Source organism: Homo sapiens, chromosome 11, assembly GCF_000001405.40.
Source record: "Homo sapiens chromosome 11, GRCh38.p14 Primary Assembly".
Classification (NCBI taxonomy): Eukaryota; Metazoa; Chordata; class Mammalia; order Primates; family Hominidae; genus Homo; species Homo sapiens.
In genome coordinates this window covers 911364-932635 of record NC_000011.10, presented here as the reverse complement: position 1 = coordinate 932635, position 21272 = coordinate 911364, and the positions used below count along the sequence as shown (strand labels likewise).

At 53.9% G+C, this 21272-nt stretch overlaps 2 protein-coding genes across 18 annotated transcripts in view, besides 3 other annotated features; one reads left to right on the top strand and one right to left on the bottom strand.

Moving 5' to 3' along the window:
• AP2A2 (adaptor related protein complex 2 subunit alpha 2) overlaps window positions 1-6766 on the bottom strand; it is an 86371-nt gene extending 79605 nt beyond the window's left edge. For all 7 annotated transcript variants that reach the window (NR_144510.2, NR_144509.2, XM_047426480.1 and 4 more), the window contains exon 1: window positions 6548-6766. Coding sequence is in view for 3 of the 7 variants with exons in the window: in NM_001242837.2 (NP_001229766.1) it covers window positions 6548-6614 (67 nt within the window). In the remaining 4 variants the exon portion in view is untranslated. The remainder of the gene's footprint in view (window positions 1-6547) is intronic.
• Window positions 6415-6954: a silencer, noted in NCBI's record as "silent region_3049". NCBI's record gives its function as "represses an Ori minimal core promoter by ATAC-STARR-seq in GM12878 lymphoblastoid cells {active_cell/tissue: GM12878}" and the evidence as "EXISTENCE:reporter gene assay evidence [ECO:0000049][PMID:35858748]".
• Window positions 11954-12453: an enhancer, noted in NCBI's record as "H3K4me1 hESC enhancer chr11:920183-920682 (GRCh37/hg19 assembly coordinates)". NCBI's record gives its function as "activates a minimal SCP1, AML or CMV promoter by ChIP-STARR-seq in primed H9 embryonic stem cells {active_cell/tissue: H9 hESC(primed)}" and the evidence as "EXISTENCE:reporter gene assay evidence [ECO:0000049][PMID:30033119]".
• Window positions 13133-13427: an enhancer, noted in NCBI's record as "tiled region #4982; HepG2 Activating DNase unmatched - State 1:Tss, and K562 Activating DNase matched - State 8:EnhW". NCBI's record gives its function as "activates a minimal TATA promoter and a strong SV40 promoter by Sharpr-MPRA in HepG2 and K562 cells {active_cell/tissue: HepG2 | K562}" and the evidence as "EXISTENCE:reporter gene assay evidence [ECO:0000049][PMID:27701403]".
• Window positions 17422-21272, top strand: part of CHID1 (chitinase domain containing 1) — a 47356-nt gene continuing 43505 nt past the window's right edge. For 5 of the 11 annotated variants that reach the window (XM_011520300.3, XM_011520299.3, XM_011520301.4 and 2 more), the window contains exons 1-2: window positions 17422-17472; window positions 17922-18332. In XM_011520300.3, the coding sequence (XP_011518602.1) occupies window positions 18121-18332 (212 nt within the window). In that variant the 5' untranslated portion in view covers window positions 17422-17472; window positions 17922-18120. Of the gene's footprint in view, window positions 17473-17790; window positions 17892-17915; window positions 18333-21272 lie in introns of those variants that run through there. The other 6 variants (XM_047427479.1, XM_047427480.1, XM_047427483.1 and 3 more) reach the window with 3 other exon arrangements.

Here is a 21272-nt window from a genome sequence, read left to right as displayed (position 1 = left end):
CTGGTTTCTAAGGAACACACATTATGCAGAAGCATGCAAAAGAAGACATGCAAGGAGAGCATTCTTTTCTAAGAGTCAGCACTTTTTAGGAATGTACAGTCAAAAGGACAAAATGAGCTTTTAACTGTGAAGGTTATTTAAGAAATGCAAAAGCAGACTGACCAATTCTGATGCTGATCTTCACTCGTCTGCACGAAAATCAGTATAACTTTATGTTTAATTTTTATACTGAAGTTTAAGCAGAGTTTAAAATTTAGTGTTCAGTTTCTCCATATCTAATTTATGACTCCATAACTGGAATTGCATGAACAAATAAAATTTAACTTTAGTCCCACTGAAACACAATTCAAAGGGTATCTAATTTCAAGAAAGTTAACAGAAATGGCCAGGCACAGGGGCTCACGCCTGTAATCCCAGCACTTTGGGAGGCCGAGGCAGGTGGATCACTTGAGGCCAAGAGTTCGAGACCAGCCTGACCAACTTGGTGAAACCACGTCTCCACAAAAATTAGCTAGGCGTGGTGGCAGACACCTGTAATCCCAGCTACTCGGGAGACTGAGGCACAAGAATCACTTGAACCTGGCCGGGCGTGGTGGCTCACGAGGTCAGGAGATCGAGATCATCCTGGCTAATACAGTGAAACCCTGTCTCTACTAAAAAATACAAAAAATTAGCCGGGCGTGGTGGTGGCGGAGCCCCAGCTACTCAGGAGGCTGAGGCACAAGAATCACTTGGACCCAGGAGGCAGAGGTTGCAGTGAGCCGAGATCACACCGCTGCACTCCAGCCTGGGTGACAGAGGGAGACTCTGCCTCAAAAAAAAAAAAAAAAAAACAAGAAATGGAAGGGACCAAGTTTTATGCCAACCACAATGAGCAGAGCACTGATAATTTTTCTAATTTATCGTGAAACCTGCAGCAAAACTGTATCACTTTCTTCAAGACCATGGAAATTCATTTTTGCCATCTTGCTAATAACATCTCTCCATCTGTTTCCCCTTCATGTGAGGACCTGGGGGGGTTAAAGAAAACGCCTCCAAGCATCTGCACCACACCAGCACCACATGTAGAGAAATAAAAATGGTCATTTCCTGCCTGAAGTTGTTTTCCTGGCAAACTGACCGGTCTCAAAAGGACTTATCACTTCTTCCCTTTCCTTGCAGTCCTGATTGTTTTGCAGTCAATTCTCAGAGCCTGACAACATTTTCAGCAGTGCTGTGTCTCTCCAACAATATTCTAGTGTTGGCATGTCAACAGCAATGCATAAAGACATGCATTCACTAAGTTAGATACAACTCTCCTCTGCAGATATGTCATTTGTGTAAAAACAAACGAAAGTTCCAAAATAACTGAATAAATAGCAAATAATTATGGTCTTGTTTCCCCAATTTCAGCAGTTATTTTGTTTTCTCGGTATCTTTTGCTCAAATACAATGTCAATCAATGCACCAGCCTGAATGGACCTCGATGGGACTGTACTGAGGGGGAAAAAAGCAATCTCAAAAGATCACATATGATGTGATTCCCTTTATATGACATCCTTGAGCCCACAAAATTACAGAGATGGAGAACAGATTAGTTTCAGGAGTATGGCTATAAGGGGTAGCTTTGTGATGATGGTATAGTTCTGTATCTTGACTGAGGTAGGGAACCGGTTACACAAAGCTACAGGTGCTAAACTGCATAGAACCACACACACACACGTGCATGTCGATCTAACGAAATCTGAATATGCCTGGTGGTGTGTACCAGTGTCTGTTTCCTGGTGTTGAATATGTCCTGTAGTTATGCAAGATGTCCACATTAAGAAAGGTAGGGCACCAGGCACAGTGGCTCACGCCTGTAATCCCAGCACTTTGGGAGGCCGAGGCCGGTGGATCACGAGGTCAGGAGACCGAGACCATCCTGGCTAACACGGTGAAACCCCGTCTCTACTAAAAATACAAAAAATTAGCCGGGCGTGGTGGCGTGCACCTGTAGTCCCAGCTACTCGGGAGGCTGAGGCAGCAGAATGGTGTGAACCCGGGAGGCGGAGCTTGCAGTGAGCCGAGATCGCGCCACTGCACTCCAGCCTGGGCGACAGAGCGCAACTCCGTCTCAAAAAAAAAAAAATTCTAAAACTGGGACTAAATAAAAGGACTAGAATTTTTTTAATGCCAATTTAAAAAAAAAGAAACAGTTTATTAACTCTCACACACTGAATGCATGCTGACCAAATGCAGTGGCCGCTGGGTTGACGTCAATCAGAAAGGATGAAGTTAATTTTAGGAGACATTAAGTTAGTTCACTACCTGAGCCACAAAAGCTACAACTTTGAGGGGCAGAGCTTGACACGAGGCACCTTTTCAAATCCTGGAGCATATTCATTGCTGCCTATGCTAAGAGGAGTAATGCCCCAAGCCAGTCTGCTGGGAGTGGGTTACTTGAAGTGAAAACAGAGCATCCTAGTGTCCACATGCTCCCTGTCCGCTACCTCAGATACTTGGCACAGGGCTTTTTTTTTTTTTTTTTTTTTTTGAGACAGAGTCTCGCTCTGTCACCCAGGCTGGAGTGCAATGGCACAATCTCAGCTCACTGCAAGCTCCGCCTCCTGGGTTCAAGCGATTCTTCCGCCTCAGCCCCCGGAGTAGCTGGGACTACAGGTGCATGCCACCACGCCCAGCTAATGTTTGTATTTTTGTGGAAACAGTGTTTCCCTATGTTGGCTAGGCTGGTCTTGAACTCCTGACCTCAGGTGATCCGCCCACCTCAGCCTCCCAAAGTGCTGGGATTACAAGCGTGAGCCACCGCACCCGGCTGGCACCAGGTCTTGGAGGGGAAAAACTTTTTTTTTGAGGCAGGGTCTCAATCTGCTCCTCAGGCTGCCCAGGCTGGAGTGCAGTGGCGCAATCCGAGTTCATGGCAGCCTCAACCTCCAGGGCTCAGACAATGCTCTCACCTCAGCCCACTGAGTAACTGGGACCACAGGTGCGTGCCACCACGCCTGGCTAATTCTTTTTTCTCTTTTGAAAAGACAGGGGTCTCACTATATTGCCCAGGCTAAAGGAGGAAAACTTAAGAAACTGGTCAGAAAGACGCAAATTTGGAGCTGAAACAGGCTTTAACGATATTTCAGCTCAAAATCCGCCCCTTCAAGCGTCAGCTGAGGAAACTGAGGCTCCGTGGCTAGTGGCCTCCACTCACGCAGCTTTAATGATATTTCAGCTGAAAATCCAGCCCTTCAACTGTCCGCTGTGGAAACTGAGGCTCCATGGCCAGTGGCCTCCACTCATGCAGCTGCTAAGAGGCAGAGTCAGGGTCAAGAGCCTTGGCTGTTGGCTCAGAGTCCTCTTTCCACAGGGCCCGACTACTCCTATCATTCACTCTCATGACAGGAAAACAGCACACAAAATCAGAGCTGGCCAGGGAAAGGGGAAGCGGGGACCCCTCTGCCTGTGACATGGAGGTCAAGTTCAGATCAGCTCAAACCCTGGCTGGCTCTCCAATCCCGTCTCCAGGCACCAGCCAACATTCATTAACTCAATACGTATATACATTAATTATTTGCTGTTCCTCTAATACCTTCTTGGTCTTCTGCCTGAATTGCCCAAGAATCACCTTCCTTGTGAGGTCTTCTCTGGCATGCACCTCGCATGCCAGACGCTCGCCATGAGGAGAACAGCAGGAAAAATGTGATGAGCAAGATAGGGTGCGCACCTTGTAGAGGCCACCCTAGAGGGCAGTGGGGGAGATGGGGCCACTCAGGTGAAAAGCAGCACCACAAGCTGAAGACACTGCCCAGGAGGAGAATGGTGGGCGCTGCAGCTGATGAGAGGCCATCCAACAGCAATGAGGGAAAGAGGATTCCGAGAAAGGGGCCGTATTAAAGAGACCTGGCTCCCCCAGCTAGGACTAAGCACCCCTTCTTCTACGAGCTCCTTCAGGGGAGGGGCTGTGTTATTCAATGGGATACACTAGTGGTTCTCGACGGCGGACAACTTTGCCCTAAGGGCACATTTGTCAATGCCTGGAGACATTGTTCCTTATCACAACTAAGGCAACTGGTGCTGCTATAAACATCCTAAAAGGCACAGAACAGTTCCCCACAATAAAGTGTGATCCAGCCCCAAATGTCAGCTCTGCTGAGTTGGAGAAAGTCTGGTCTATATAGTCAAGTATTTTATAGAGTACAGCAGTTTCCCCATATCCACAGGTATACGTTCCAAGGCACTCAGTGGGTGCCTGAAACTTCAGATGATACTAAATCCTATACAAGCTGCTTTTTTCCCACACATACCTATGAAAAAGTCTAACTTACAGATTAGGCACAGTAAGAGATTAACAGAAGCCAATAATAAAAAAGAACTGTAATGATATACTGTAATAAAAGTTATATGAATGTGGTCTCTTTAAATATCTTATTGTACTATGCTCACCTATTTTCAGATCACCAGAGGTAACTGAAACCTCAGAAGGTGAAACCACAAATAAGGGAGGACGGCTATACCGCACTCACTGTGGTAGGCGCCATCCTGTCAAACGCAGGCCCTGGCACAGACAATATATCTGACAAGTGGGTGACTTGCTGTCTGAGGAAATGGCTTTCAATCTCATTGTCCTGCCTAACGCAATTTTCTTCAAAAATGGAAGGACAGACATCATAGCGCATTTAAGGGTACTCAGTCTTTGTCCCAGAGGTCCCCTTAAGAAATAATACACACACTTAGTTTTACAAAATGCATGTTGGTCTCATTATGTAACAAACAAAGAGAAAAAATGCTACTCGTAAAAGTGCTGATCTGAGGGTGTTTCTAAGCCTTTTTTTTTTTTTTTTTTTTTTTTGTGAGAAAGGTCTCACTCTGTCACCCAGGCTGGAGTATGGCGCGATCTCAGCTCACTGCAGCCTTAACCTCCTGGGGTCAAGTGATCCTCCTCTCTCAGCCTCCCAAGTAGCTGGGACTATAGATGTGTACACCAATACGCCCAGCTAATTTTCGTATTTTTTTGTAGAGACAGGGTGTTACCACATTGCCCAGGCTGGTCTCAAACTTCTGGGCTCAAAAGATCCACCTGCCTCAGCCTCCCAAAATGCTGGGACTATAGGTTTGAGCCACCGCACCCAGCTCTATGCTTTTTTTTTTTTTTTTTAACAGAGTACAGGAAGGGTTAGATGGTCCTCTACCCTTCCACAGAGTGTGGGAGAACCACTATCCTCCTGATCCTCCATCCCGTCTAAGGAGATGAGAATTCAAAGGGAAGATCACAACAGTCCCTCAAAATACACATTAAAAATTATGAGGGTGCCGTGGCTCACGCCAGTAACCCCAGGACTTTGGGAGGCCAAGACAGGTGGATCACTTGAGCTCAGGATTTCGAGACCAGCCTAGGCAACATGGCGAGACCCCCCCATCTCTACAAAAAACACGAAAATCAGCCAGGCATGGTGGTGGTGCACGCTTGTAGTCCCAGTGACTCCGGAGGCTGAGGTGGTAGGATCACTTGAGGTGGGAGGTTGAGTGCGCCGTGATGGAACTACTGCGCTCCAGCCTGAGAGCCAGAGCAAGACCCTGTCTCAAAAAAAAGAAAAACAAAAATCATGAAGTCAACTATTTGCTGGATAACAAGGAAAAAAATCAACGCAGCAGACAGGAAACTGGCTTTGTTTCTCCCTCAAATTAAATAAGGAGATGGCCTCTGAAAGCCAAGAGGAGGTTCTGCACACCAAAGTCAAATTAATTGGTGGACCGGTGCACCCACCCAGCCACCCTGCACATCCTTCTAACAGGCCCAGCCTTCCTGGCTTGTTTAACGGTTTGGTGTGGATTTTTCCCACCCCGAGGGGACAGGCACGGGGCTGAGAACGAGGTCTGTGATTGGAGCAGCAGGCAGCGAGGCCATCCCACACCCCGACTGCTGCTCGTGTCCAGATTCCCTCCGGGAATGAGTCATTTTAATCGTCGTAGGTGAGATCTAATCAGGGGTTAATAAGCCTCCAGAACCCAGGTCACAAAGCTGTTTCCTGGGAAGACACTGATTTCCAGATTTCTGCTCCCAAAGCTAAAATCCACGCCGTTTTGGAAAACGCTGGGTTAAACGCTCCAGTACTAGAAAGACCAAGGTGACATCATGCTGGGGAGGGGCGTCTTGGCCCGGAACCCCCTTGGTGGTGCCGCAGCCCCCCGCACGGACCAGCAAACGGGAGTGGAGATGTGGATGAAGGGCCGTGCCCTAAACCCCTAGACCCCGCACCCCTAGACCCTGGACACCCCACCCCGCACCCCCAGACCCAGGGCCCCGCTCTGCATCCTGACCCGCACCCCCATACCCGATACCCCAAGACTCTGAGCGCCGCCCGCACCCCCAGACCCTGGACCCCCACCCCGCACCCTGGCCCCCACCCCCAGACCCGGTACCCCAAGACCCCGAGCGCCGCCCGCACCCTCAGGCCCCGGGCCCCGCCCGCATCCCAGCCTGCACCCCCGCCTCGAGGCCCCGCCCCGGGCCTCCGCTCCCAGACCCCGTCTCCGCCGGCGGCCCCGGCCCCGGCCCCACGCCGCCCCCGCCACTCACAGTTGCGGATATCCGAGATGAAGACCGCCAGGCCCCGCATCCCGTCCCCCTTGGACACGGCCGGCATCTTCCGACGCTCGGGAGCGGCCTCGGCTGGCGGACCCGGGCGGAGGAGCGCGGGGAGCGGGAAGCGGGGAGTGCGGTCGCCGTCACCGCCGCGGAGGAGCCGCCGGGGAGCCGCCTAACCACGGCCGCCTCAGGGTCCCAGCGCCGCTTTCTGGGCCGCCGCGCGCGCGCACGTACGGCGCCCGCACCAGCACGCACGCGCACGCACGCGAGCGACGACGGACGGCGGCCGGGGCGGGTGTCGCGTGAGGCAGCGCGCGCGCGTCCGCGGCACGGGGGCGAGCCGGTCGAGGCAGGCGCGGGGGCGCCCCCTGCAGGCGGACACCATGGACGGAGCCGCTGAAGCCACGCGTTCGCGTCCCGGGGCCGCGCCAAGCTGGCGATGCCGCCCGCGTCCCCCACGGGAAGGGCGTGGGTCCGGGCGGGAACCCGCGTGTGCAGCGGGCCGCCTCTGTCGTTGTTGGTGGTCACTGCAAAAGAGGCGGCCACGCAGGCACACGCGTACGGCCTCGTCCTGGGCCTCGGCCCCGCTAGCTTGCCCCGAGCAGTCTCCGTTTTCTTACTTGGAATAAACGACCTGTGAGCGCTGGGCGGCGGGGCAGCTCCGAGGCCAGGGCCTTGTTTGTTCCGCGGGGGCCGGGGCGGGAGGGCGGCGCCGGGAGGAAGCTGGGGCTCCAGGCGAAGGGGTCACAGCCGCTGGACGGCCTTTGGCGAGGAAACCCTCCCCTAGCACGGTATCCTGAGACGGTGGGGCTGGCCCGCCCCTCCTGCCGCCCTGAGCCGCCAGGGCCACATCTCTTGCGGTCCCTGAGCTGGGGGCGAGGCAGGCCCCGTGCCCGACCCAGCCCAGGGTCTGTGTGGCAGCCCAGGTGCCCCCTCCACATCACCTGGGCCTGCAGAGAAACAACCACCCACCCCACCCCAGTGACAGCGGCCGGGGGCGGCAGCCCCTGCGGAATCTAGTCCCTCGGCGGCGCCAGGACTTTTGGCCACTGTTGCCAGGGCCCCCTCTGCTCCCCAGCCCTCTGCACCACTGCAAGCTGGAGGCCTAGGCCCACCCCTGTGGACACATCGCAAGGGAGGACCTGCTGGGCCAGGCTGCACAGCTCCAGGTCCCGGCCAGGAAGAGACCCCAGGGAGTGGGGAAGCAGATGGCCCTGCCTCACTGTCCTTCCCAGAGCCAGATGGCTTTGAACAGGAAGCTCCCTCCTGCTGCAGTGGGGGGATCTGGACCCTGTACCTGGAACTGGCCCAGACCCACCAGCCAGGGCTTTGTCCCCACCCTGGCTCACTTCCGCAGCCCCAGATGAGAGCTTAGCCCTGGTGGAGCCCGGCCAGGAGGAGGGCACAGGACCCATGCCCCTCCCCAATGAACCGGGTGCCGCACCCAGGCTCTGGGCCTCCAGAACTCCTGGGGAAAACCAAGATCTGTGACAGACCCCAGTCAGCATAAGGCAACCAAGTCCATCACTTCCCAAGACAGAGGCACGGAGCCGACCCAGCAGAGGGCTTCCTGGAGGACGGTACACCCCTCCGGAGTCCCTATCCTCTCCCAGTGCCACCTCCTGGCAGAGAAAGTGGTCCCGGGGCTGTTCATTCTTCAGCCTCTCCCTTCCACCAAGAAGCTTCCCTCCCCTGTCCCTGACAACAAATAAAGGCCATTCTGGACACAAGAGCATCTTGTGCCATGTGAGGGGTCCTGGGCTGCTCTCCAGGACAGTCCCAGCAGTCACGAGGACCGTCCACTAACACACGTGGGCAGAGCATGGGCTCTGGGCGTCAGGAGGCTGGCATGCCTAATCCAAGCTCCCATTGGCAGTGGCAGTGCAGAAGACCGAGACAAGCAGACCACTGTGCCCCCCCACCAGCAGCCACTCACAGAGCAGGGCAATGGGGGTGCTGCAGGGGCTGCCCACAGGAGGGCTTGGGCCTGGCAGGCATCCCCCTCCGCCCACTCGGAAGACTCCTCCTCAGTGCCAGCTCTGGGATTCCCACAGACATCCTCCCGTCCACACAAGAGTGTTTAGGGGTCCCAGAAGGCCCGACATGCAGCCATGCAAAAGACTTCCCACCTCCTTCCAGCGTCGTTGCCCTTGCAGACACGCAAGCCCTCCAGATGATTCACTCCAGTCCCAGCCTTGGGTCTGAGTCCATGTGGGCCTCTCTGACCACTGCCACTCCTCGGCTCGGGAGAGGCCAGCTTCGGGAGTGCGCAGTCCTAGGAAACAGTTTCTTTTTCTTTATTTTATTTTTTGTAGTGATGGCATTTCACCACGGTGCCCAGGCCGGTCTTGAACTCCTGTAATCCCAGCATTCCGCCTGCCTGTGTCTCCCAAAGTGCTGGGATTACAGATGCAAGCCACTATGCCTGGCCTATTTATTTATTTATTTATGTTTAATTTTAGAGACAGGGTTTCTCCCTTTGACTCCCAGGCTGGAGTGCAGTGGTACAATCATGAATCACTACAGCCTCGACCTTCTGGGCTCAAACCATCCTCCTGCCTTGGCTCCCAAAGTGCTTAGACTGCAGGTGCACGCCACCACACCTGGCTAAGTTTCTGATTTTTGTGGAGATGGAGTCTCACTATGTTGCCCAGGCTGGTCTTGAACTCCTGGGCTCAAGCAGTCCTCCTGCCTTGGCTTCCCAAAGTGCTGAGATTACAAGCCACTGTGCCTAGCCTCAGTATCTTTCTTTTTTTTTTTTTTTCTTCCTTGAGATGGAGTCTTGCTCTGTCGCCCAGGCTGGAGTGCAATGGCATGATCTCGGCTCACTGCAACCTCCACCTCCCGGATTCAAGCGATTCTCCTGCCTCAGCCTTCTCAGTAGCTGGGATTACAGGCACGCACCATCACGCCCGGCTAATTTTTTGTATTTTTAGCAGAGGTGGAGTTTCACCATGTTGGCCAGGATGGTCTCAATCTCCTGACCTCATGATCCGCCCTCCTCGGCCTCCCAAAGTGCTGGGATTACAGGCGTGAGCCACCGCGCCCAGCCATTTCTTAAATTATTTGAACGTTTGTCATACTTTAGCCACGCAAGGTCACAGTACTATTCCCAAGGGCAGAGGTGGGGACGAGTCGCTTTCCTTCATCCACAGCCATGGGGAAGCCAGGGTCCACAGATACAAGCCCGACGTGGGCATCATGAAGGGAAAACAGGCTGGGGCCCCAAGCTGCGGTGTGGAGGTGCTGTCTCACTGCAGCAGGGTTCCCCAACATATAGCCCCTGCAGCGTTAGCTGGCCATGCCCTGGGTCCTACCCAGACCTGAACATGTCTGTTTTACAAATGACCCAGTTTCCTTCTCATCATCTCTGGCGTAAGTTGCAGACAATGACCCTTCCAGAAGAGGGTCTGGCAGCATGTTCCATGTACAGTTGGTCCCTGTGCACTCATGAGAGTTCAGGGACAATGAGGTGGCATGCTCAGACCCTGTGGCCCCCCCGTGATCATCTGAGCACCTGCAGTCCCCAGGAGTGACATGCTCAGGGAAGGCTGTGGGAACTGACTGTCCCCTGCCATGGAAGGGTGGGAGGCATGAGGGGTGCATTCTGGAACTCTGCGGTGGGTGGGTGCGTCAGGTATAGCCAGCCCACCTGAAGGAGGAGAAGATGAGCTCAGGCTCCTGAGTGCTCATCACGGGGCGGGTGGGAGCTGCCATGACCACACATCTTTCTCACCACTGCAAAGCCGGAGGAATACAAAGCCATTCACAGCTGGGCCCAGACAGCAGCAAAACAGCCACCAGGGTGGGAGGTGCAGCCTCCCCAGACGTCTGGCGGGAGAGCTGCAGTGCTGTGCGGGGCCCAGAGAACTGGCATGGGGTAAATTCGATAACCTGGGACCCCAAGCCCCACTTCCCAAGAGTCCCCGCCCAGCTCAGCCCTTGATCCTGAGTCAGGCCCCAACACATCCACACCCACAATCGCACAGAGGGGGATGACTGGGCACCTGTGAACAGCGGGAAGCTGAGTTTCTGTCAACAAAACCCCACAGAACACTTGTAGGATGGCTTTTGAGACACAGGCCCCGGACAACAGCTGGGTCCTTTGCAGCACCCACGGTGTCTGGATCAACTGAGCCAGCCTGGCAGCCCAGGGTCCGTCCGGCTGCTGCTGGGCCAAATTCCTGGAAGCTACATGCAGGGCAGCCCCTAAAACATGGTTACAATGACAGAAATCCCTGGACATAATGCAGAAAAAGGGGCTCAGAGGACTCAGGGACTGAACCTGCCCAGCTTCTCCTAAGGAGACCCTTCCTGCCAAAGGCTTGGAGATGTGTAACTTGCACAAGGCCAGCACCTTCACAGGCTCTCAGGGCCGTCCTCTGAGGCTGTGGGGGTGCAGCCACATCAGCAGGCCCCCTGCTCTCAAAGGAGAAGGGCAGCTCGGGGTGACTAAGGCCAAGGAGGCCAGACACCCCACTAGGTGGCAGGGTGATGACATCATCAAGGTCTGTCCCAAGCAGCCCCTAGTACGGGTTACCGGCTCAGGGCACCCTTGGGCCAACAGAGGGGCAGCCCTCTAAGCTCCTGCATAAGATGTGTGGTCAAGGCCAGGCACGGTGGCTCACACCTGTAATCCCAGCACATTGGGAGGCCGAGGCGGGGGGATCGGGGGATCATGAGGTCAAGAGATCAAGACCATCCTGGCCAACATGGTGAAACCCCGTCTCTACTAAAAATACAAAAATTAACTGGGCATGGTGGCACGTGCCTGTAGTCCCAGCTACTCGGGAGGCTGAGGCAGGAGAGTCACTTGAACCCAGGAGGCAGAGGTTGCAGTGAGCAAAGATCACGTCACTGAACTCCAGCCTGGTGACAGAGCGAGACTCTGTCTCAAAAAAAAAAAAAAGTATGGTCAAGAAAATTCCAGGCCAGGCGCAGTGGCTCATGCCTGTGATCCTCTCCCATAGGAGGCAGAGGCGGGTGGATCACTTAAGGCAGGGAGTTCAAGACCAGCCTGGCCAACATAGTGAAACCCTGTCTTTACTAAAAATATAAAAAATTAGCTGGGCATGGTGGTGGGCACCTGTAGTCCCAGCTACTAGGGAAGCTAAGGTAGAAGAATCGCCTGAACCTGGGAACTGGAGGTTGCAGTGAGCCAAGATCCCACCATTGCACTCCAACCTGGGCAACAGAGCAAGACTCTGCCAAAAAAAAAAAAAAAAAAAGCCAGGCACAGTGGCTCACACCTGTAATCCCAGCACTTTGGGAGGCCAAGGCAGGTGGATCACGAGGTCAGGAGTTCAAGACCACCCTGGCCAACATGGTGAAACCCAGTCTCTACTAAAAATACAAAAAATTAGCTGGGCGTGCTGGCGGGAGCCTATAGTCCCAGCTACTCCGGAGGCTGAGGCAGGAGAATGGCGTGAACCCGGGAGGCGGAGCTTGCAGTGAGCCAAGATTGCGCCACTGCACTCCAGCCTGGGCAACAGAGCGAGACTCAAACAACAACAACAACAAACAAACAGCTCCCTGACCATCACCTGATGGTCAACTGACTTTCCTGGTTGGGGGACGGGGAGCAGGGGAGCCCTCTCCCGCACCGCTCACGTCTGACTGGCTACCTACTGTAATAGGAAGGCAACGTGGAAATCCTGGGAGCCCCCTTCCCAACCCAAGGGGTAGACCAGTGGCGCGGCTGACGACTAGTGACACCCTCAGAGGGTCTGATGGGACAGGCCAGGGTATATAGCCTGAGTGCTGCGGTTTTTAAGAGCACACGAGGCAGTTCTGAGGTGTGACCCATTTTACCAGCCTGACTAGCCCGCACTGGACTTCCATGCTGTCAGACGCCAACCACACGGTGTTATAGCACATGCCCATTCCGATCCCCTGCCCAGCCAGCCTGGCAGCAAAGTGGGGCTGGGGGACTGTCATGAACCTCTGTGGCCTCACTCACTGACAATGCCAAGGAAAGCCACTGTCCTGGCCATTTCTCCCACGGCAGCAAATCCCATCAGCCCAGGCCCACGCCTTGGCCTCCCAAAGTGCTGGAATTACAGGTGTGAACCACTGTGCTCGGCCCAGCTCTGGGAATTCTAATATTAAAAGGAAGAGTGAAAGAATGTAAACTAAGAAAAAACCCACAACCGGCCAGGCATGGTGGCTGACCCCTGTGATCCCAGCCCTTTGGGAGGCCAAGGCAGGTGGATCACTTGAGGTCAGGAGTTTGAGACCAGCCTGGCCAGCATGGTGAAACCCCGTGTCTACTAAAAATATGAAAATTAGCCAGGCATGGTGGCGGGCACTTGTAATCCCAGCTACTGGGTAGGCTGAGGCACGAGAATTGCTTGAACCCTGGAGGTGGAGGTTGCAGTGAGCCAAAATCACACCACCGCACTCCAGCCTGAGTGACATGAGTGAGAGTCTGTCTCAAAAAAAAAAAAAAAAAAGAAAGAAAGAAAGAAAAAGAAACAAGGAAAAAACCCACAGCCTCTGGCACTCCAAATGTACAGAGAGTGTCAGCACTGCTGATTGCTTCGGGCCTAGCAGGGATGGTAGGACACCTTTATTACCTCCCTGCAGAGCTGAGCCAGAGTTCTCTGCTGGTTTAATTCCCGGGGACTCGGATGTCACATGGTTCACTGGCTACCCAATGAGCAGGAAGCAGCATGTACACTGTGTGCCCTGCAGACCTGCACGTGTGCCGACGGCAGAGACTGCGAGTCCAGCCCTGCCGCTGAATCTCCCCTCCTTCTACAGTAGCTGATCTCCTGACTTGGTGGGCATGTGGCCGCCCAGAATCAAGACTACATTTCCCAGCCTCCTATGCAGCTAGGCATTGCCTGGTGATAGCAGAACGTGCAGGGAGATTGTATCTGGGCCTGCCCTGCAATGTACCATAGCCTGGGCAGTTGGAACAACAGAAATTTGTCTTCCTATAGTCCTGGAGGCTGGAAGTCCAAGATCAAGATGTCCACCGGGGCCGGGCCCGGTGGCTCACACCTGTAATCCCAGGACTTTGGGAGGCCGAGGAGGGCGGATCACGAGGTCAGGAGATCAAGACCATCCTGGCTAACATGGTGAAACCCCGTCTCTACTAAAAATACAAAAAATTAGCCGGGCGTGGTGGTGGGCGCCTGTAGTCCCAGCTACTCGGGAGGCTGAGGCAGGAGAATGGCGTGAACCCAGGAGGCGGAGCTTGCAGTGAGCCGAGATCGCACCACTGTACTCCAGCCTGGGCGACAGAGCGAGACTCCATCTAAAAAAAAAAAAAAAAAAAAGATGTCCACCGGCATGCTCTTCCTGAGGCCTCTCTCCTTGGCTTTATGGATGCCATCTTCTCCCTGGGTCTGCACAGGGTTGTCCCTAGGTACTCCTCTGTGTCCTCATCTCCTCTTTTTTTTTTTTTTTTTTTTGAGATGGAGTTTTGCTCTTGTCCCCCAGGCTGGAGGACAATGGCATGATGTCAGCTCACTGTAACCTCCGCCTCCCGGGTTCAAGTGATTCTCCAGCCTCAGTCTCCTGAGTAGCTGGGATTACAGGCATGTGCCACTACATCCAGCTAATTTTTTTTTTTAAACTTTTAGTAGAGCTGTGGTTTCACTGTGTTTTCCAGGCTGGTCTCAAACTCCTGGCCTCAAGTGGTCTGCCCGCCTCGGCCTCCCAAAGTGCTGGGATTACAGGTGCAAGCCACTGTGTAAGGCCATAATCTCCTCTTCTAAAAAGGACACCAGTCCTATTGGATTAGGGCCCACCTTACTGACCTCATCTGAACTAATTACATCTGCCACAATCCTCCAAATTAGGTCACATCCTGGGGCACTGGGGTTAGGACTTAATATATGTGTTTTTAGGAAATAAAATTCACCCCGTAACAGAGGTGACGTGTGCCCATTTGGGGCAGGATGTTGAATTCCTGCCTGCCTTTCCACCCCCTCCTCAGAACACAGTTTGAGGGCTAACACTCCGTCAGGAACAGCATGGCTGGGGGCTCTGCCACACTCAGACAAACCTAGATCCTAACAAACACCTAATGATTACCAGGCCTCAGTGTGCAAGGTGCACCCTAAGGACAACGTGGGGGGCGTCATAAAGCCTCTGGGGCTCCAGGGCATATCGGGACGTCCCCCATTCTGTCCTGTGTCTCATCATCAGTACCGCCAAGCCCATTCCCACAGGCACCATCAGTCATCAGTAAATGCTCCCCCACCTCCCCAAATGCCCAAAGCCACACAGGAGCCATACAGCAGGTGACACCAGCTGGGGGAGGGGTGGGGAGGTGCCATGAAAATCCTGTTGTTCCCCCACCCACAGATGCTGCTACTCCTGGCCTCCTGTTAGCCCCAGAGCAGGAGTCTATAGCCTCTGGGCTCCCTCAGACCCCCGTGGAGCAATGCCCCCCGGCTCTACTGGCCAGACCAGCTGAGGCCAGACCGGCCCTGCCCACAGTCAGTTTCCCAGCACCCGAGGGGCTCCCTGGCCAGGGGGTTCTGCAGCAAGCACTTCCTTCCGGGCGGGCCAGCACCCACCCACCTGGCCTCCAGCCCAGGCTTCTCTGTGGGCCCAGCCAGGTGAACTGGTGGAATATTCGTCAATTTTAAGGTTGGTCTGAGAAAAAGAAAGTTAGAAAATAAGCACGGCACAGTGGCTGACACCTGTAATCCCAGCACTTTGGGAGGCCGAGGCGGGCAGATCACCTGAGGTCAGGAGTTCAAGACCAGCCTGGCCAACATGGTGAAACCTTATCTCTACTAAAAATACAAAAATTAGCCGGGCATGGTGGCGGGTGCCTGTAATCCCAGCTACTCGGGAGGCTTAGGCAGGAGAATTGCTTGAACCCAGGAGGTGGAGGTTGCAGTGAGCCAAGATGGTGCCACTGCATTCCAGCCTGGGCGACAGAGCGAGACTCCAAAAAAAAAAAAAGGAAATAAAGCATACTGACTAAAATTATCACTGCAGGCTTTCCAAATGGCCATATGAGCTTCCTAGGACTCTCTGAAAAATGACCACAAACCAGAGGCTGCAACTCAACAGAAACGCATTCTGGCCTCGCCGTTCGAAAGGCAGAAGCAGGTGTCAGTGGGGTTCGTTCCTTCTGGAGGCCCCACCCCCACGTTCACCCCTTGTATCTCTCTCAGTGCTGCCTCTCCCTTCTGTTCCCTTTTTTTTTTTTTTTTTTGAGACGGAGTCTCACTCTGTTGCCCAGGCTGGAGTGCAGTGGCGAGACCTTGGCTCACTGCAACCTCTGCCTCCTAGGTTCAAGCGATTCTCCTGCCTCAGCCTCCTGAGTAGCTGGGACTACAAGCGTGTGCCACCACACCCAGATAATTTTTGTATTTTTAGTAGAGATGGGGTTTTGCCATATTAGCCAGGCCGGTCTTGAACTCCTGGCCTCAAGTGATCCACCCGCCTCAGCCTCCCAAAGTGCTGGGATTAGCATGAGCCACTGTGCCCGACCTCCCTTCTCTTCTTACAAGGACCCCTGTCATTGGATTTAGGGCCCACCCTATATCCAGAATGATCTCATCCCAAGATCCTCACCCTAGATACCTCTGCAGAGACCCTATTTCTATTTGTTGTTGTTGCTGTTGTTTGAGACAAGAGCCTCACTCTGCCTCCCGGGCTGGAGTGCAGTGTCGCGATCTCAGCCCACTGCAGCCTCCACCTCCCAAGTTCAAGGGATTCTCCTGCCTCAGTCTCTGGAGTAGCTGGGACTACAGGTGCACGCCACCATGCCAGGCTAATTTTTGTATTTTTAGTAGAGATGGGTTCTCACCGTGTTGGCCAGGCTTGGTCTTGAACTCTTGATCTCAGGTGATCCACCCACCTCAGCCTCCCAAAGTGCTGGGATTACAGGCATGAGCCACTGCGCCTGGCTGAGATCCTATTTCTAGATATGGTTGCACCGTTGCATTCATGGGTACAGGAGTGAGAACTTAGACAAGCTTTCGGGGGCTGCCATTCAACCCACCACCACGGAGAAATACTACCTCTTGATCTCATCAAGGCCAGGCAGCCGGCCCTTCCCCTTTGCTTTCAGATTTTTTTTTTTTTTTTGAGACAAAGTCTTGCTCTGTTGCCCAGGCTGGAGTGCAGTGGCGCAATCTCAGCTCACTGCAAGCTCCAACTCCCGGGGTCACGCCATTCTCCTGGCTCAGCCTCCCGAGTAGCTGGGACTACAGGCGCCCGCCACCAAGCCCGGCTAATTTTTTGTAATTTTAGTAGAGACGGGGTTTCACCGTGTTAGCCAGGATGGTCTAGATCTCCTGACCTTGTGATCCACCTGCCTCAGCCTCCCAAAGTGCTGGGATTATAGGCGTGAGCCACCATGCCCAGCCTAGATTTTTTTTTTTTTTTTTTTGAGACAGGGTCTGGCTCTGTCACCTGGGCAGGAGTGCAGTGGTGTGATCACAGCTCCCCGCAGCCTCCACCTCCCTGGGCTCAGATGACCCTCCCAAACAGCCTCCTGAGGAGCTGGGACTATAGATACACGCCACTAGGACTCACTAATTTATAAATGTTTTTGTAGAGACCAGGTTTCACCATGTTGTCCAGGCTGGTGTCAAACTCCTGAGGTTCAAGCAATCTGCCTGTCCCAGCCTCCCTAAATGTGAGCCGCCACACCCAGCCAGCTTGCGGTACTTTAAGTTGGCTGTGTGATAGTGAGAAGTATAAAACCCACAATGGTGCCGTGACGCACGCAGCCTTTGCAAAGGGCAAATACACAAAGCTAGGGCCACGTGCCACCACACATGCCCACCTCGGGGCTCAGCATCAGCCCAGCAACCAACCAGACACCTACACGCAACTGTCACTGGCCAGGGCCGGCTGGGCCAGCGGGGGCCCACACGTGGAACACAGGCAGAGAACTGCTGTGCTGGCTCTGGCACTGGATCCAGAAGCTTCCGCTGGGCGTGAGTGTGCCACTTCCCCCTCCTGCTTGCCCTGGATTTGCTTATCCCAGCACCCAGAGAGGATGTCTCCGTCCACAGGTGGGGAGGGCTAGGCAGCAGGGAGTGCTGGTGTGTGTCCCTCTCTTCCTGGGCTTCCGGCCTCTGAACTAGAATGTTTCAAGGCCTAGGAGTGACAGGACGTGGTCAGCAATAGTGGCCCAGGTCCTGCCCTTGGGTGACCCAGGCCAAGGTCTCCTAGTTAGAACAGGACAGAGTCACGAGGCTGCCACTGTTGGGAAGGGCCCTGCCTGTGCTGACTCTGCAAATGAGGAGTCGCCCAGAGCCGCCGCGACCCCACCCAGGAGCACTGGCCAGCCTGGGGAAGACACAAACCCAGCCCCAAAGGCCCCACAGCCACCAGGCACCTCCAACAACCAGGTGTGAGTAATTTTTTTTTTTTTTTGAGACAGGGTCCTATCTGTCGCCCAGGCTGGAGTGCAGCAGTGCAATCACAGCTCACTGCAGCCTTGATGTCCTGGGCTCAAGTGATCAGCCTCCCGAAGTGCTGGGATTACGGCGTGAGCCACCACTCCCAGCCTTCGAGTGCTTTTGAGGATGTCTGTGAGAGGCATCCTCAGGCTGGGGACCCAGGAATATCCCAGGTAAGGCATGGGGTCTCCTAAAGCAGGGATCCAGTCAGCAGCAGAAACACTCATCTCTGCAGGCCTCCTCACCCCACCGGCCTGCCCCTGCCCTACTCTGTCCCCCCCATGCCCACGGCAGACAGGCAGTGGGCAAGCAGGAGGGCCTCAGGGCAGGTCAGACCTGGGCCTACAGGGCAGAGCCTGGACCTCCGCCAGGGCACTCCACACCCACCCCGGGTAAGGAGGGCTGGGAATGGGGGCTGAGGGCTGGTTTAGTGCCTGGGCAAGGTGGTTATGCTTGGATTTATATTAAATTTCAACAATTAGGATTTGATTTATTAAAATTTAATTTCAATACATTGAAGTTAGAAATTCAAAACCCAATTTATTAACCTGTTAAGTTCAATTTTACAAACCCCCTATTATTCCCTTTTAAGCCTAGAAGACTTTACAGTCACTTTTTTTTTTTTTTTGAGATGGAGTCTTGCTCTGTCACCCAGGCTGGAGTGCAGTGGCGCGATCTCGGCTCATTGCAACCTCCGCCTCCCAGGTTCAAGCAATTCTCCTACCTCAGCCTCCTGAGGAGCTGAGATTACAGGTGCACACCACCACGTCCGATTAATTTTTTTTGTATTTTTAGTAGAGACGGGGTTTCACCATGTTGCCCAGACTGGTTTCAAACTCCTGGGCTCAAGCGATCCTCCTGCCTTGGCCTCCCAAAGTGCTGGCATTACAGGCATGTGCCACTGTGCCTGGCCTTTTTTTTTTTTAACAGAGTCTCACTCTGTTGCCCAGGCTGGAGTGCAGTGGCTCAATCTCAGCTCACTGCAATCTCCACCTCCCCAGTTCAAGCGATTCTCATGCCTCAGCATCCCAAGTAGCTGGGACTATAGGTGCATATCACCAAGCCCGGCTACTTTTTTGTATTTTAATAGAGATGGGGTTTCACCATGTTGCTCAGACTGGTCTCGAACTCCTGAGCTCAGGCAATCCGTCCACCTCGGCCTCCCAAAGTGCTGGGATTACAGGTGTGAGCCACTGCGCCTGGCCTGCAGTCACTTTAAAGGGGCTTCTGCATAATATTTGGTCCCATCTATAAACTCAATTAAGCAATTTTCAACATTTCAAACAATTTATAAATGAAGCCTCTTTTCACTCCTTTTTGCGTGCTTTAGGTTGTCTGAATTGATAACAGAATCTCGGGTGCTTCAGTAACTCATGCATTGGCCTGGTGAGGTGGCTTATGTCTATAATCCCAGCATTTGGGGAGGCTGACGCAGGAGGTTTGCTTAAGCCCAGGAAGTGGAGGCTGCAGTGAACCATAATCCACTGCACTCCAGCCTGGGTGACAGAGTGAAACCTTATTTCATTGTGATACTTTTTTTTTTGCGGGGGGGGGCAATTTTCCTGCCTTGGCCTCCCAAAGCATTGGGATTACAGGGGTCAGCCACTGCACCTGGCTAAAAACTCATACAACTTAACAGATTCAAATTTTAAATGTGGTGAACTGCAAGTTATCTTAGATGTTCCAAAAACATAAAATACGAAATGTGTTCAAGTTTCACTTAATACAGGAATGCTAACACTTCGGTTCTGATTCTCCTAAATCTTGGTATGTATCATTCAGCATCTTCCTAAGGCTAAAAGGTGGGTGCCCACCTAAAGAAGTCAGTTTTCTTTTTCTTTTTCTTTTTTTTTTTTTTGAGGCAGAGTCTCACTCTGTCGCCCAGGCTGGAGTGCAATGGCTTGGCTCACTGCAAGCTCCGCCTCCTGGGTTCACGCCATTCTCCTGTCTCAGCCTCCCAAGTAGCTGGGACTACGGGCGCCCGCCACTACGCCCGGCTAATTTTTCGTATTTTTAGTAGAGACGGGGTTTCACCGTGTTAATCAGGATGGTCTCGATCTCCTGACCTTGTGATCCGCCCGCCTCAGCCTCCCAAAGTGCTGGGATTACAAGCGTGAGCCACCGCGCCCAGCCAAGAAGTCAGTTTTCAATGCAGGTACACGGGGCCCATTGGCACAAACTATGCAGATTGGGAAGCGGACCGCTTTGTGCTGGCAACTGACAAGACTCCCCCAGGAACCCGGCCGTTGGGAGCTCTGCAGAGGGGCCTGGCTCTGGGCTTCCTATCCTCCCATCTGCGGGCCCCATCTGCTCTTGAGGTCTGTAGTTCTGGCCCAGAGTGAACCCTAAGTAGATTCTGCAATTCTTTTTTTTGTTTTTTTGAGACCGAGTCTTACTTTATCACCCAGGCTGGAGTGCAGTGTGATCTCTGCTCACTGCAACTTCAGCCTCCCAGGTTCAAGTAATTCTCCTGCCCCAGCCTCCCCAGGAGCTGGGATTACAGGCATGCGCCACCACGCCTAATTTCTGTATTTTTAGTAGAGACAGGGTTCCACCATGTTGGCCAGGCTGGTGTCGAACGCCTGACCTCAAGTGATCTACCCGCCTTGGCCTCCCAAAGTGCTAGGATTAAAGGCGGCGGCTGCCCGATCGATTCTGCAATTCTTTAGCGCCAAAGACCTCTGACCTCAATGAGATCCTAAAATGGCTAAGTGCCTTTCCTAAGAGAAGTTGGATGTTGCCATGGCCTCCTTAGCATTGGGAGGACTGCGCATATGTCCCTGAGGACACCTGCCATAGCTTACTGGGACCCTCTCCAGAGCTCTGCCGACTTGAGGTCTTCACCCCCAAAGGTCAGGCTTCAGGCCACCATCCAGGCCGTTTGCTGAGAGCGAGTGCTAAGCTGAGTAAGAGCCCACAGCTGGTGGGGGACGTGCCTCGCACCGCATGCAGCCCCCAGCCCCTTCTAGGAAAGGCGTGGGCGTCAGCTGGCAGAAAATACCGGGAAGGGAAAGAAGGAAACGTGACTAGAAAGAAAGACAAAGCTTAGTTTAAGGAGAAAGCTCCCAAGCAGCAGAAATGGAGAAGCAGCTGTGCAGGGTGTCTTGGAGCCCACGCGCGCCCCGGGAACGGCTGAGCGGGGCAGGGTGGGGCCCGGCCGTGCGGTTTTCTGTAGGAAACTGCGCTGGGAACGGCTAGGGCTGGGGGTGGGGGTCGGACAGCCTGTGCCGCGTAGAATGCGCGGTGACTCAAAAGTGCTGGCCACGCGCTCGTTCATCCAAGCGCGAGGGGCTGAGTTGGGAACTTGGTTTGCCTCCTGGGGCTCCGGCTCG